The following is a 14,517-nucleotide window of genomic DNA, read 5'->3' as shown; positions in this document are numbered from 1 at the left end:
GGCCTTAACTTAAACCCAAGAATGGGCTAAGGGCAGCAATGTATTTTGGCTTGCAGACTAGAGTGTAACTCAATTAATCATAAGAAAAGTGAGTGAAGAGAAGAGGGGGTCATGGTTACAAATTCAGAGCTAGGGTTATCTTTCCTTGTGTTTTCATATATTCTAGGATGGAAAAACAAGAATCTGAGAATTTTGAATTTGTCAACGTAAGTGAATAGAATGTATTATATTTAACAGTATAATTTGTTTGGTTTATATATTTTTAATTTTATTTATTTATTTTTTGAGGAGCTGGATTGCAGTGTCATGACCTGGGCTCAGTGTAACTTCCATCTGCCAGGCTCAAGAGATCCTCCCGCCTCAGCGTCTCGAGTAGCTGGGACTACAGGAACGTGCCACCAGGCCTGGCTAATTTTTTATTTTTTTTGTGAAGACGGGGTTTCACTATGTGGCTCAGGCTGGTCTCAAACTCCAGGAATCAAGGGACCCACCTGCCTAGGCCTCCCAAAGTGCTGGGATTACAGGCATGAGCTACCGCACCAGGGCTGTATGTAATTATTTAATATTGTTTGTCTTAGCCATATATCAGGTTGTTTATAAACAACAGAAATTTATTTCACACAGTTCTGTAAGCTAGAAAATCCACAATTAAGGCGTCATCAGATTTGATGTCCAGGGAGGGCCCACTTTCCCATAATGACACCCTCTCACTCTGTCCTCACAGGGTGAAAGGGGTTAGTTAGCTTTTTGAGGTCTCTTTGTAAGGGCAGTAATCCTATTCACAGAGGCTCTGCCCTCCTGATCTAGTCACCTCCCAAAGGCCCCACCTCCTAATAGCATCACATTGAGGATTAGGTTTTAATGTATAATTTTTGGAGGGACACAAACATTCAAACCATTGCATAGGTATAGGATATGTAAGACTACATTTGTAATATTTTTCTTGCCCCCATAAATATTGTCACATACCAAAATATGACAGATTATTTTTCTATTAGTTTATAAGTTGTCAGGATATAGGATCTGTGACTGAACCTAATAGAGAGGGATGCCCATTAACCACAGATTCTGAGATTTGTGATGGAAGAGGTAATAGGATAGGACCTTGGGCTTTGTCCTTTGGCGGAAGAATGAGTTCACTTTGTTGGAAGCAGAGTGTGCACCAATAAATGGTTGCCATAGGATGGACTCTGGCAGCCTACCAGTTATTCCCTTCAAATCTTTTCCCCTCTTTTTTTCTGGGCACATGGCTACAAAGCTGTGAACAATTTCTGTTGTCCTCACACGTATTAGCCATGTGAAGCTCTGTAATAAGTTCTCACCAATGGAATATGAACAAAGTAATGTGTTAAAAGAAGATTAAAAGGTTAAAAGAAGATTTCTTGCTCTGGTCTTGCTCACTTTTCCCTTCTTGCAGACTGAAATGTACATATGGTAGAGGTGCAGCATCAGTCATGCTGATGAAGAAAACATCCATGGGATTGATGGAGGATGAAAACGGGCTCAATAAAAATTCACAGAGAAAAGCTGCCTTACGTGTGTGAGATAAACTTCACTCTTTAAGCTATTACATTTTTCCCCCCAGCAGTTTAGCCTTTAGTCTAAGAAAACTACTTAGAAAAATATGGGCTTATTGTTACTCATTTAAACTGGGCATATGAGTTATTATGGGCAAATGAAGTTATTATGATAAGCACAAACTACTTGTTTATCTTTCCTTAGAGTAACTAAAGGACAGAATGTGTAGACAGAACTCAGTTATAATGTCATTTTTTCATATAACTCCTCTCATGCTTAGGAAGTAAGATATTAGAATTCTAGGAAAAGTCAGATATATGTAGTCATTTGGAACCTTATGAATACCTTCAACTTTCAGAAAATAATATTACATATATATACACACAATAGTACATAGAAAATTTATAGTGTATAATATAGCATTTATGCATAGTACATAGCATACAGATTATATAGAGTATATAAAGTATATAGCATATAGAGCATTTACAGTAATACTGTATATTACTCTTCATGTATTCATTAATTTTAATATCTATTTCAATTTACTTTTCACACATTCACAATATTTATGTTTTCTAGAAGTATTTTAAAGTTTTCATTTTTACAATTAACAGAATAATAAAATTGCCTAGTTGTTTTAAAATTAGGTAGAAAATAGTAACTTGTAAGAAACTACCTAGAAGCACATCATTAACTTCATGAATGTATAAATGAGTTTGTCATTTGCTAGAAGCCAATGAGATACATGCTTGGTGTCTAATTTGTCAAGCATCACTTTTTGAAAATCTTAAGTAGAGACATCTTCTAAATCTGAGTCATAGACCAAGTCTCAGTCTCTCTCTCCATATATATATAATATATAATATATAAATAAAAAATATATAATATATAATACACACACTGTTAGGATCAGTTGGTTTATATGTTTTTAACTCATGTATTTTTTTAACTGAACTTCTGTCTAGATGTTCTATCCATTATTGAAAGTGAGGTATTCAAGTCTCCATCTATTAATGTAGAACTATCTATTCTTACCTTCAAGTTTGTCAGTACTTGCTTCAGATTATTTTAGGACTATGTTGTTTTGAGAATATATGTTTATAATTACACCTTCTTAATGAATTGACACTTTTTAAAATATATACCTCCCTCTTCCTCATATACCAGTTATAAAATTACTTTGATATTACCACCATAGCTCTCTTTTTGGTTGATACTGGTATGGAATATCTTTTTCTATCCTTTAACTTTCAATCTGAGTCTTTAGATCTAATGCGAGTCTCTTGAAATTGTGTTGTTTTTAGAATTCACTCTATTTTGCCTTTGATTGAAGAGTTTGATACATTTATATTTCAAGTAATCATTGATTTAAAAAGGGCTTCTGCCATTTTGCTGTTTTTTTCTACACAACTATATTTTTTTGCTCTCATTTTCTCTATTATTACCTTTTCTGTTTGCTTTTAGTTGAGTTTGAAAAATAGGGCGCTACTTAATTCCCTTTTATTTTCTGTGTATTATTTTGTGGATATTTTCTCTGTGCTTATTATAGGTATAATATTCAAAATCCTATATTTATCACAATGTACTTTGAATTAAAGTTAACATCCCCAGCATGCAAATACCCTACTCCTATGTAACTTCACTCCATTTTATGTTGTTTCTCTTATAAGTTACACATTTCTACATTTTATGCTCAGAATTATAATGATTTTGATATAGTTATTTTGATATTGTTTCTGCTAGAAATTAAACAGTTATAAATAAAAAATACAATAATACTGGCTTTTATATTTAATTACACATTTTGATAATTTCAAGTATTTATAGTTCTCAAACTATATTTTCTGCTTGCTCAAATCTTCTGTCTTTTAAAATGTCTATTATAATTTTAGCTCCAGAATTTATATTTAGTTCTTTTTGGAATTTCTTTCTTTCTTTCATTCTATTTTGTTTGTGCATTATTTTCATGATTTCTTTTAGTTCTTTATGTTTTTACTTTTATGTTTTTCTGTGAGGACAGTTATGTACCACGTAATGATATTTCAGTCAGTGGGGGACCAACCACTTTTATGATTGTCCTCCCATAGGATTATAATATTGTATTTTTACTGTACTTTTCTATGTTTATACATGTTTAGATACATAATACTTATCACTGTGTTACAGTTGCCTACAATATTTAGTACAGTAACATTCGGTACAGGTTTCTAGCCTAGGAGCAATCGGCTACACCATATAGTCTAGATATATAGTACGCTATACCATCTAGCTTTGCCTGAATACAATCTGATGTTTGCATATTGACAAAATTGTCCAGTAATGCATTTCTTAGGACATATTGCCATTGGTTAGTAACATATAACTGTATATTTAAAATCTTTTCTAGTAAATCCAATGTCCGGACTTCCTCAGGGACAGTTTCTGTCAATTTATTTTGTTCTGTTACATGGGCCATACTTTCCTATTTGTCAGCCTTGTGATTTTTGTAGAAACCTGGATATTTGGATATTACTGTGTGGTAACTTGGAGATTCTCTCCTTTCCTCAAAGTTTGTTATTTTCTGGTTGAGACTAGTAGAAATCTGTCTAATTACTTTCTAACCTATTTTTGCAGACTATTCCATTTCTCGTGTGATAACTGACATGTCTGTTCTTTAGCTTGTGTTCAGCTATTGTACTGGCATTTTTTTGTTTTTATTACCAGGGTCTAAAACAAACAAGCAAGCAAACAAAAAATGCCTCTCCCAATATTTGAGATTAGCTCTGTGCCATAGACACAGACATTTAGCCAGACTTGTATTAAGTCTATTTATTAGCCTGAGATAAAAGCTCTGGGTCTTGTTGAGCATGTGTCTTGCTCTGGACATATATGTGGCTTTCTTAATTCCCTTGTATGCATAGATATTTTTGAATGTCTTAATTTTTCAAAGAAACTCTCCCCTAGCTATTCCTCCTCAGCCTTAGTAGTTTATTACATGTCTAGAACATAATATTTTGTCCCACGCATTTTTGATTCCTTAGATCATCTTGTGGGTTTTTGTCTGTTTGTTTGAGATGGAGTTTCGCTCTTGTTGCCCAGGCTGGATTGCAATGGTGCGATCTTGGCTCACCATAACCCCGCCTCCCGGGTTCATGTGGTTCTCCTGCCTCAGCCTCCCAAGTAGCTGGGATTACAGGCATGCACCACCACACCTGGCTAATTTTGTGTTTTTAGTAGAGACACGGTTTCTCCATGTTGGTCAGACTGGTCTCGAACTCCTGACCTCAGGTGATCCGCCCACCTCGGCCTCCCAAAGTGCTGGGATTACAGGAGTGAGCCACCGTGCCTGGCCCATCTTGTGGTTTTTTTGAATGATGCTCATTCTTTTTCCAGCCTGAGTTCTGAATTAAGTGAAAGATTGATGAGCACCTTATCTCAATCCTTCAAGGAGTCCTCAAAGAGTTTATAGCAGGCATGCACAATAATTTGCAAATGAAGTTTGTTCTACTCTTTTCAGTCCCAGGAACCAAGGTCCTACGTTGGGAGCATAAGCTACCTTCAAGACTGTTACCATGCTGTGAAGGGGGTGGAGCAAGGGAAAGCAAAAATATCACAAGTATTTTTATTTCTTATATCAGCTATGTTTTTCTTGAGTCAGCATTTGCTTTGTTGCTTTGTTGCTTCATTTCTTGCTGTAAATCTGGAACTATTTTTTAAAATTCTAATGAAGTTGCATCTGACTGGTTATACTTATTTTTCAGTGTTTTTGTGGAGAGATGATAGTTAAATCTGGCCATTCCATTTTGCTGAGGTCATCCTATCTCTAAATATGCCTCCCTAATCCTAATACAGGAGATTGCAAGAGGACAACTCGGCTCTAAAATCGATGCATTAACATGTCATTGGAATTGACCTTGCCAAAAGATGCCTCCCTAAATCCACAAGAATCTCCTTGTTTGAACACAGGTAGGCACTTAGAATTTTGTGTTATATTTTTGACCCACAGGTTATTTAGAAGTGTGTTTGTTTAATTTGAATATATTTGTGAATTTCCAAGGGCCCTTTTTATTGATGATTCTGATTTTATTCCATTTTGTTTGGAGTACATTCCTGATTGATCTCTACTGCTTTGCATTTATTCATTCTGTTTAAGGCTTGGCATTTGATCTATTCTGGAAAATGTACCATGAGCACTTGGGAAGAATGTGTACTCTGTTGTTGTTGGGTCAAGTGTCCAATGCATATTTATTAGGTCTTGTTGATTGTTAACTTTACTACTGCCTTGTTAATCTTCTTCATAGTTGCTCTAACCATTATTAAAAGAAGGACATTGAAGTCTCCAGTTATTGTGGAAATGTCTTTTCTCCCCTCAGTTCTGTCAGTTTTGCTTAGTGTAGTGTTATCGCTTTTTAGGTACATATATATTCATAATTGTAATCTGTTTCTAATGAGTTGATTATTATATGATTATCAAACATCCCTCTTTTTCTTTTGGTAACTGTTTTGGTGTTACTTTATTTGATATTGGTGTAGCCTCCAGATTTCTTGTGTTGCCAACATGAAATACTATATTCCATTATTTTACTTTTGATTTTTTGTATGTTTAAATCTAAATTGAGTTTTGTATCGAAAACATATAGTTGGAACTTTTTAAAAATTTAATTTGACAATTTCTGCCTTTTGGTTGGATTTTTAATTCGTTCACATTTAATATCATTACTGATAAGATTTGGGATACTGATGTATGCAATTTTGCTGTTTCTTGTATGTCTCATGTTGTTATCTTTTTTTTACTGCTTTCTTTTGCATTGAGCATACATTTTGTTTAATTTATTTAATACCTTACTCTATTTTAAAAAAATGATTTTCTTAGTGATTTCTCTAGGGTTTATGATTTACAGCTTAACAGAATCTACTTTATATTAATACTAACTTAATCATCATGAGATATAGAAAGGTTATTTCAATATAGTTCTATATCTTCTTCCATTTTTGTGCTATTATTGTTTTATATATTACATTTATATATGTAAAGAACCCAAACCTGCATTTTTATTATTATTGCTATACATGCATTTATCTTTTAAAGAAGCTGAATAAAAAAGAGTAAATATATACTTTAAAATTTTCGTATTAACCACTTTATCATTTCTGATTCTATTCATTAGCTTCTGTAGATTTAAGTTGATGCTGTTGATTCAAGTTACAGTTTAGTACAATTTTGTTACATCCCATTTAGGTTTTCTCCTACCCACCTCTTTTATTCTATTATCTGATATATTTTTAAATGCTGTAAGTCCAATGATGCAATTTCATTCATATTATTTTATATACTTACTTTTAAAATCACTTATTAAGATAAAGGACAGGAAATATATATATATATAGTATTTTATAATTACATAAATACTTTAATCAGTTCTCTTTTTTTTTTGTTTTTAGATTTAGATTATCATACAAGGTTACTTGCTTTCAGCCTGAATAACTTCCTGTTACATATTGTAAAGCCAATTTTCCAAATAACACATTTGCTCAGTTTTATTTGGGTAATGATTTTACCATTTGTTTTAAAAGATACATTTGCTGGAAAACAATTCTTGGTTGTCATTATTTATTATTTCATAGCCTCTTGGCATTCTGGCCTCTTTATTTTTTATTTTTTTATGAGTTGTCAACTGTTAGTGGAATCCCCTCAGAGGTAACAAGTCATTTGTTTTTTCCTACTCCCTTAAAGATAGACCTCTTTGTCTTTTAATAAACTTTTATAATATGTCTGTGTGGGTATCCTTGGATTTATCCTGCTTAGAGTTTCTGGAGCTTCCTGAGTGTATAGATTTCTTTTCATCAAATTTCAAATGATTTCTGTCATTTGAAAATTTTATTTTCTTTTGTTAGTTTCTCTTTGAGGTACTCACACTAGTACACTAGTTTGCTTAATGTTGTCCTACATTTCCCTGAGCTCTGTTTATTTTTGTTAATTAATGAATCTTAATTCGCTCATTTTTCCTGATTTTTATTGCATAATTTCTATATATCTTTAAGTTTTATTATTTTTTATTTTTTTTTTACCAGCTCAAATCTTCTCTTAAGACACTCTAGTAAATTTTTAACTTGGATTTTATGTTTTCATTTCCAGATTTCAATTTGATTTTTAAAAAGTAGTTTATATCTTTCTTAATACTCTGACATTGTCATTGTACTTCTGTAAGCATGAATTCTTCTAGTTTTTACAAATATTTTTAAAGTCCATTAATGTCTTTGTCTATTAAGTTTCATATGTTGGCTTTAACAGGAGTAACTTCTAATTTTTTTCCTGTTTATGTGGTATTGCTGTTTACTTACAAAGCTTATAATATTTGCTTAAAACTTGACATTATAAGTAATATATTCTAGACATTATGGATGCTTACTATCACTCCTTCGCCAGGGCTAGCTTTTGTGGTGGTTTACTTATGTGCTTGTTTAGTGGATGAGATGGACTATTTTAATGTCCATGGGAACAGTAGCTATAGTATCTCTTTTTTTCTGATATTAGTAAATATTGTGTTATCTTTTTTTGTCTTAGTCTGACTACTGGTTGATTGATGCTATTGATCATTTCAATAAACCAGCTTTTGGTTGTGTTGATTTTATTATTTTTCAATTATTAATTTCATTGATTTCTGCTTTACTTTTTTTTTTTTTTTACTTCTTCTTGTTTGCATTTTAAATTGCTACTTTTAGTGTCCTAATTTAGATTGCCAAGTTTTACAGGTTTTTAATTTTGTAATTATGGAGTTAATATGACACACTGCCTACTAAACATTGATTTTTGTTGCATCACACAAACTTTAATGAGTTGTATTTTTTATTTACATTCACTTCAAAATAGTTTTAATTAAAAATATTTTTTGCCCATTTGTTACTTATAATCGAGTTGATTAATCTACAAATATATGTGGGTCTTCCACCTATACTTCTCTTATTGATTTACAATTTAATACCACTGTGGTTTAATAACACATTTTGAATGATTTTTATTCTTTTAATTTGTAAAATAAAATTTATGGCCCAGAATGTGGTCTAATTTGGTGGGTGTTTTATGTGAGTTTGAGCAAAATGTGTATTTATTTTTTTGTTGGATGGAAGTTTCCATAAATATCATATACATAAGATGGACTTATAATGCCATTTATGTCAATTTCATCCTTCTTAACAGCTATTTTGAAAGCTACAACTATAATAGTGGATTTGTTTACTTATGTCTTAACTTCTCTTAATTATTTGTTGTGTATTTTACCACTGTAGCTAGGTGTATACACATTTAGAATTATATCTTCTTGGAGAATTGACACTTTTATTATTATGTTGCACCTCTGTTTATCTCCAATAATTCTTCTTGCTCTAAAGTCTGCTATTTCAAAATTAATGTAGTGACTCCAGCTTTCCTTTGATCAGTTTTAGTATGGTAAATGTTTCTTCATTTCTTTATTTCAAGACTATCTGACCCTTCATATTAAAAAGTACTTTTACAAATTTACATATTATTAGATAATTTTTTATTCATTATAATAAGCTCTAGTTGCTGCATTTAGACTGTTCACATTTAAAGTTATAAATTATGTAGTTAGATTAATGACAGTCAAGTTTATTACACTTTCTATACCTTTTCAGAGGCATATATTTATGCATTCTTTGATTTCATTTGGGTGTTTTGTATAGCTTCATTTTACTTTTTCCTTTAGTATATCAGCTACACAGTTTAAAAAATATATATGTTGGTTTGTGCTAGTGTTTAAAATATTTTTAATGAATCTAACTCAACTCTTAAGTAACACTACTTGTCTTTGTGTGTAATTTATGTGTCTTATGATGGAGAGTTCCAAGTTCCTTCCTCCTGTCTCCCATGTTATAGCACTCATCCATTTTTTTATCCATGTGCTATAATCACATGGATAATCACACAACACATTTCAGCTTAATATTAATACTTTTAAAAAGTTATTAAGATCAATAACAATAAGAAAAATATTTCCTTCATCTTCATTTATTTCTTCTCTGATATTTTTTTCTTCATGTAAATTTTTTTTCTGACTTACATCATTTCCTCATGCCTCATGTCTATGGACATATTTTACAAATCAAGTTTGCTGGAAAACAATTCCTTCTGTGTTTGCTTGTTTAAGAAATCATTTATTTCTCCTTCACTTTTGAAAGTTAGTTTAGCTGGACATAGAATTTTGAATTCTATTTTTCTTTTTGCTTTCTCTATTTTTCTCTTTTTTCTTTCTTTCAACTTTACATGTTTGCTCAACTTTCTGCTGGCTTGTATTGTTTCTGACAAAACATCAGCACTAAAGCTTATCTTTATCCCTTTAAAACTAAAGTATTTTCATCTTGTGCCAGTATCTTTCAAAATTTTATTTGTGTCTTTTTTTTCTGAAGTTTGAATATGCTATGTATAGGAATAGTATTTTTTGATACATATTCTGCTTTAATTTCTCTGTGCTTCCTGGAACTGTGGTTTGGTGTCTGTCATCAATTTTGAAAAGGAGTTTTCACCTATTAGCATTTTATGTATTTTTTTTCTGCTTTGTTCTGTCTTCTCATTCTGGTGTTCAAATTTGACATTATACACTTTTAAAAGGTTTGTTTCAGTTTTGATTGACACGTAGAATTGTGCATTGTTATGGTTACAATGTGAGGTTTTAATATATGTTTATATTGTGTATTAATCAAATGAAGGTAAATAGAAAATTAAGTACTTCAAACTTTCTTTGTGGTGAGAACACTGTGAATCCTCTCTTCTGTTTTGAAATATATGATACATTGTTGTTAATTATAGTCATCTTACTGTCCAATAAACACCAAAACATATTCCTCATATTTAACTGTAACTTTGTACGTCTTGACCAATCTCTCCTCATCTATCATCTCCCCTCCCCTCTCCAGCCTCCTAACCACTATTCTATTTCCTACTTCTATGAGATCAACTTCTTAAACTCCCATATATAAGTAAGAACATGCAGTGTTGGTCTTTATGCGCTTGGCGTTTTTTGCTTAACATAATGTCTTTCTGGTTTGTTCATGTTATTGCAAAGGACAGTGTTTCCATCTTATTAAAGGCTGAATAGTATCCATTGTGTATATATACCATTTTTCCTTTATCCATTCATTTGTTGGTGGACACTATTTTACATGTCTTGGCTACTTAAGTACAACTGAAATAAACATGGGAGTGCAGAAATCTCTTCTACATACTGATTTTATTTCATTTGAATATATACATTTTGACATTTTCCCATAGTTCTTGGATATTTTATTCCTCTTCTTTTCATTCATTCTTTTTCTTCGCACTTTATTTTGGGAAGTTTCTTTTGGCCTATACTCAAATTCAGTGATTCTTTTCATAGTCATGTCTAGTCTATTGAGTCCAAAAACGTATTCTATATGTAGATTACATTATTTTTGAATTTCTAGACTTTCTTTTGATCCTTTCTTAGATTTGTTTAAAATCCTTTTGCTAACATTGCCCATTTTCTTGCATCTTATCAATGACTGGGACAAAGCTCATACAGTCTTTCTCTCTGAAGAGAAGGCCTTGTTTTGCAGATAACTCTGGTAGTATGTCACAGAGATTATTCATTGTCCCCTATCAGAGCCATGAGATCTTTCTCAAACGGTTACTGTGAGAATCTCCTAGGAATTCTGGATGTAAAGCCCATAAAAATGTATTGGACCACTAAAAATATTCCCTCAATTATTTTCTCACTCTCACCCAGTTCACAATCATCTTTCAGCAATTTGTCATAGTTACTATTTAAGTGTACATTCCAGTTTTTGCTATTGTTTGTTGTTGTTTTGTAATGCTCACACTTTATTAAATAATATGAGAAAGGATACAATATATATGTTAGGACTTTTATATAATATGTCCTAACAGTTTTTCTTTGCAGTGGTTTCTACCCCAGGTAAATAAAAGTTGGCTGTAATTACCTGGATCAGTCTGTCTCTCTAGATATTGGGGTAGTGATTTTCTTTTCCACCTCAATTTGCTTTTCCAAGTCAATTATCTGATATGTCCAAGAAAATTTGTTGATTTTATTTTTGTCCAGTCTTTGTTTATTGTAAGGATGTAAGCGATGACCTCCCAGCTCTTTTCATGTCTGAGCTGAAACTGGAAGTTTCCTAAAGGGGCCAGAAGATGTTCAATTTATCTGAGTTTTAATAATTTTGGCACATTATTGTCTGTCTATGAACTTGATTGTCCATGTTGTTTCCAAGCCAATGTTCAGTACATAAAAATTATTTTGATAGATTGCTTCTATTTTACTGTTATTTATTTATTTATTTATTTTCTGAAATGGCCTTGTCTTGTCTACGTATATCCCTTCACTTGGTCATTACACAGAAGAGTTCTTTGGTTCTGCCTTGATTTTGGTTTGTGGAACCATAATGGAAGACTATAACTATAGTTTGAATGTCTTTAGTTCCATAGGTTATAAATCCTAATTATGTGATGTTTTCTCCACTGATTCCTTTTTACAGGAAACATATGAAACATTAAGGCACATGTACAAGAAACCCACAAAAGAAAAAAAACAAATTGTACTGTCTATTTAATATAATGACATTCTTCCTTCACTATAATCATATTTATATTGTATTTTAGCTCTTCATAGTTTTTCTTTCACATAAATCCTTTCATTAATTACATTTTTTCTATTGTTTTTCACCTTCTAACTTGAAAGCAGAACATAATAAAGAGATCAATAAAGTCTACATATTATCAACTTTAAGGATTGAAAATTAAATTGAAATCAAATTCAAATAATAATCTTTAAAGCAAATAGAAACACAGGTTTTCTTAAATGTAATATTAACATCATTATTTAAATAAGTTTATTACTATAATCTGAAATTGCAATGAAATTGTATATTGATGAGAAAAGTGTTTTTAAATTATATTTAAATATTTAAATATAATTTGTCATACACGGGTTTTGAAATGGGCTATCATAAGAGTCCATTCACTAGGAAGTCTTCCTAAACAACTGTAAACATCATAATTTCAATAACAATAAAAATATTTTGATTGTACCATATACCATGCTTTATGCCTACTTATATAACCACTAATTCTCAGAATAACCTAAGAAGATATAAAGTATTAGTCCAGCTAAAATTTATCATGCAATATTTTAAATATTCAAAAAGAATAATGCATTAAATATTAATGCACTGATATCCACATTTTAGTATTACACTAAATATGTGCATTTGAAGTTCTTGTTTACCTTAACTGATAACATCCCTCTCCACCTCTAATGTAACCACTATCCTGGATTTTCTTTAAATCATTCCTGTAACTTTAAAAAATTTATATCTCTTGCCTAAGCATGCTTTACACTTTTTACTTTCTACACATTTCATCTGTGTGTCTTCTTCCACCGGCTTTTTCAATTCAATATTGATTTAGTTGAACATTGATTGATACTTTTGTTATATGTAGCTTCAGTTTATTCAGTTTCATTGTGGATTACTATTTTACAATATTTATTTACAAAAATGTTTAAATATTAGGCTGTTTTCCCAAATTTTCTTTTTGGAAATAGGGATTTATTCTTGTTTTGGGTGAGATTATTCTCTTAAATGTATAAACAAATGTGGAATTTTTTTATTTTTCTTTGATTTGTGTATTTTTCTGAATTTTATGACTAATAATCTAGTCTATGTGTTAAATACTTTCTTGCAGATTAGGACATCTTTTTGGGAGCAAAAATTTTAAATGTTGATGTATTCTAATTTATCATTTATTTCTTGATTTGTGTTGATTTTAAATACATTTTTTATAATCTTCAAAGCATAAACATAACACCCTACTACTCTAAAAATGTATACAGATTTTCTTTTCAAGTATGTCTTTAATTCATCTTGAATTAATTTTTTATGTATTGCTTAAGATTGTGATATATTTTGATCCATATTATTGACTTTTATTAGTGCTATTTGTGTAATTGACCAATCTTTAACTTGTCATATAGAAAGACTGAGTCTGGTTCTCCACTGCTCTATTACTTGATATGTCAATCTTTGTGCTAATACTAGAGAAATTTAATAATTAAAATCTTATAATCAAGGTATATCTACTTATTTTATGCTCTCCTTTCTAATAAAATATACGTGATTTTTTGTTTTCATCCTTTTTATATGTGTGTATTTAATTATTTTAAAATTCTCAAAAATTTTATATATTTATCACATACAATAAGGCATTTTGAGATTTATACACACACACACACATATACATACATACGTACATATACATACATACATACATTGTGGAAGGACCAAATCAAACTAATTATCACAGGCCAGGCATTACCTCAAATACTTATTATGTTTTTGTGGTGAGAACATTTAACATTAACTCTGTTAGTTATTTTTGAGTACCTGATCCATTGTTATTAACTATAGCTTCCATGTTGTACAATAGCTCTCTTAAACTTATTATTTCTGCCTAAGTGAAAATTTGTATTCTTTGACCTTCATCTCCTCAGTCTGCCCCAACCACCCACCCACCCATTGGCCAACTCCCTTTTAACCACCAGTTCTACTTCTGCTTCTGTGAGTTTGACTTTTTTAGATTCCACATTTAAGTGAGATCTTGTGGTATGTGTCTTTCTATGGCTGGCTTATTTAACTTAATATAAGGTTTTCCAGATTAATCCATGTTGCCAAAAATGATGGGATTTCCTTCTTGGATGCTTAGACTGATTTAATATCTTGGCTATTGTGAATAATGCTGCCATGAATATGAGTGTGCAGGTATCCCTTCAACGTATTCGTTTTATTTCCTTTAGAAGACATACAGGAGGAATAAGAAAAAATTCTCAACATTACTAATCAAGGAAATGCAAATTAAAACCATAATCAGATATATCACCTCACATTGGTTATTATTAAACAAGACAAAAGATAACAAGTGTTGGTAAAGATGTGTTGAAAACAAACTCTTGCCCACTGTTGGTAGAAATG

General features: G+C 31.2%; 1 long non-coding RNA gene across 1 annotated transcript in view; it reads left to right on the top strand.

Annotated features, from left to right (window-relative positions):
- MIR4500HG (MIR4500 host gene) overlaps positions 1 to 14,517 on the top strand; it is a 226,977-nt gene that overhangs the window by 192,058 nt on the left and 20,402 nt on the right. The window contains exon 3 of the long non-coding RNA NR_033829.1: positions 5,353 to 5,466. This is a non-coding gene — a long non-coding RNA (MIR4500 host gene). The remainder of the gene's footprint in view (positions 1 to 5,352; positions 5,467 to 14,517) is intronic.

The sequence above is a fragment of the Homo sapiens genome, chromosome 13, assembly GCF_000001405.40.
Source record: "Homo sapiens chromosome 13, GRCh38.p14 Primary Assembly".
In the NCBI taxonomy this organism is placed as follows: domain Eukaryota; kingdom Metazoa; phylum Chordata; class Mammalia; order Primates; family Hominidae; genus Homo; species Homo sapiens.
The sequence above is the reverse complement of the archived record's forward strand: the minus strand, read 5'-3'. Positions and strand labels throughout refer to the sequence as shown.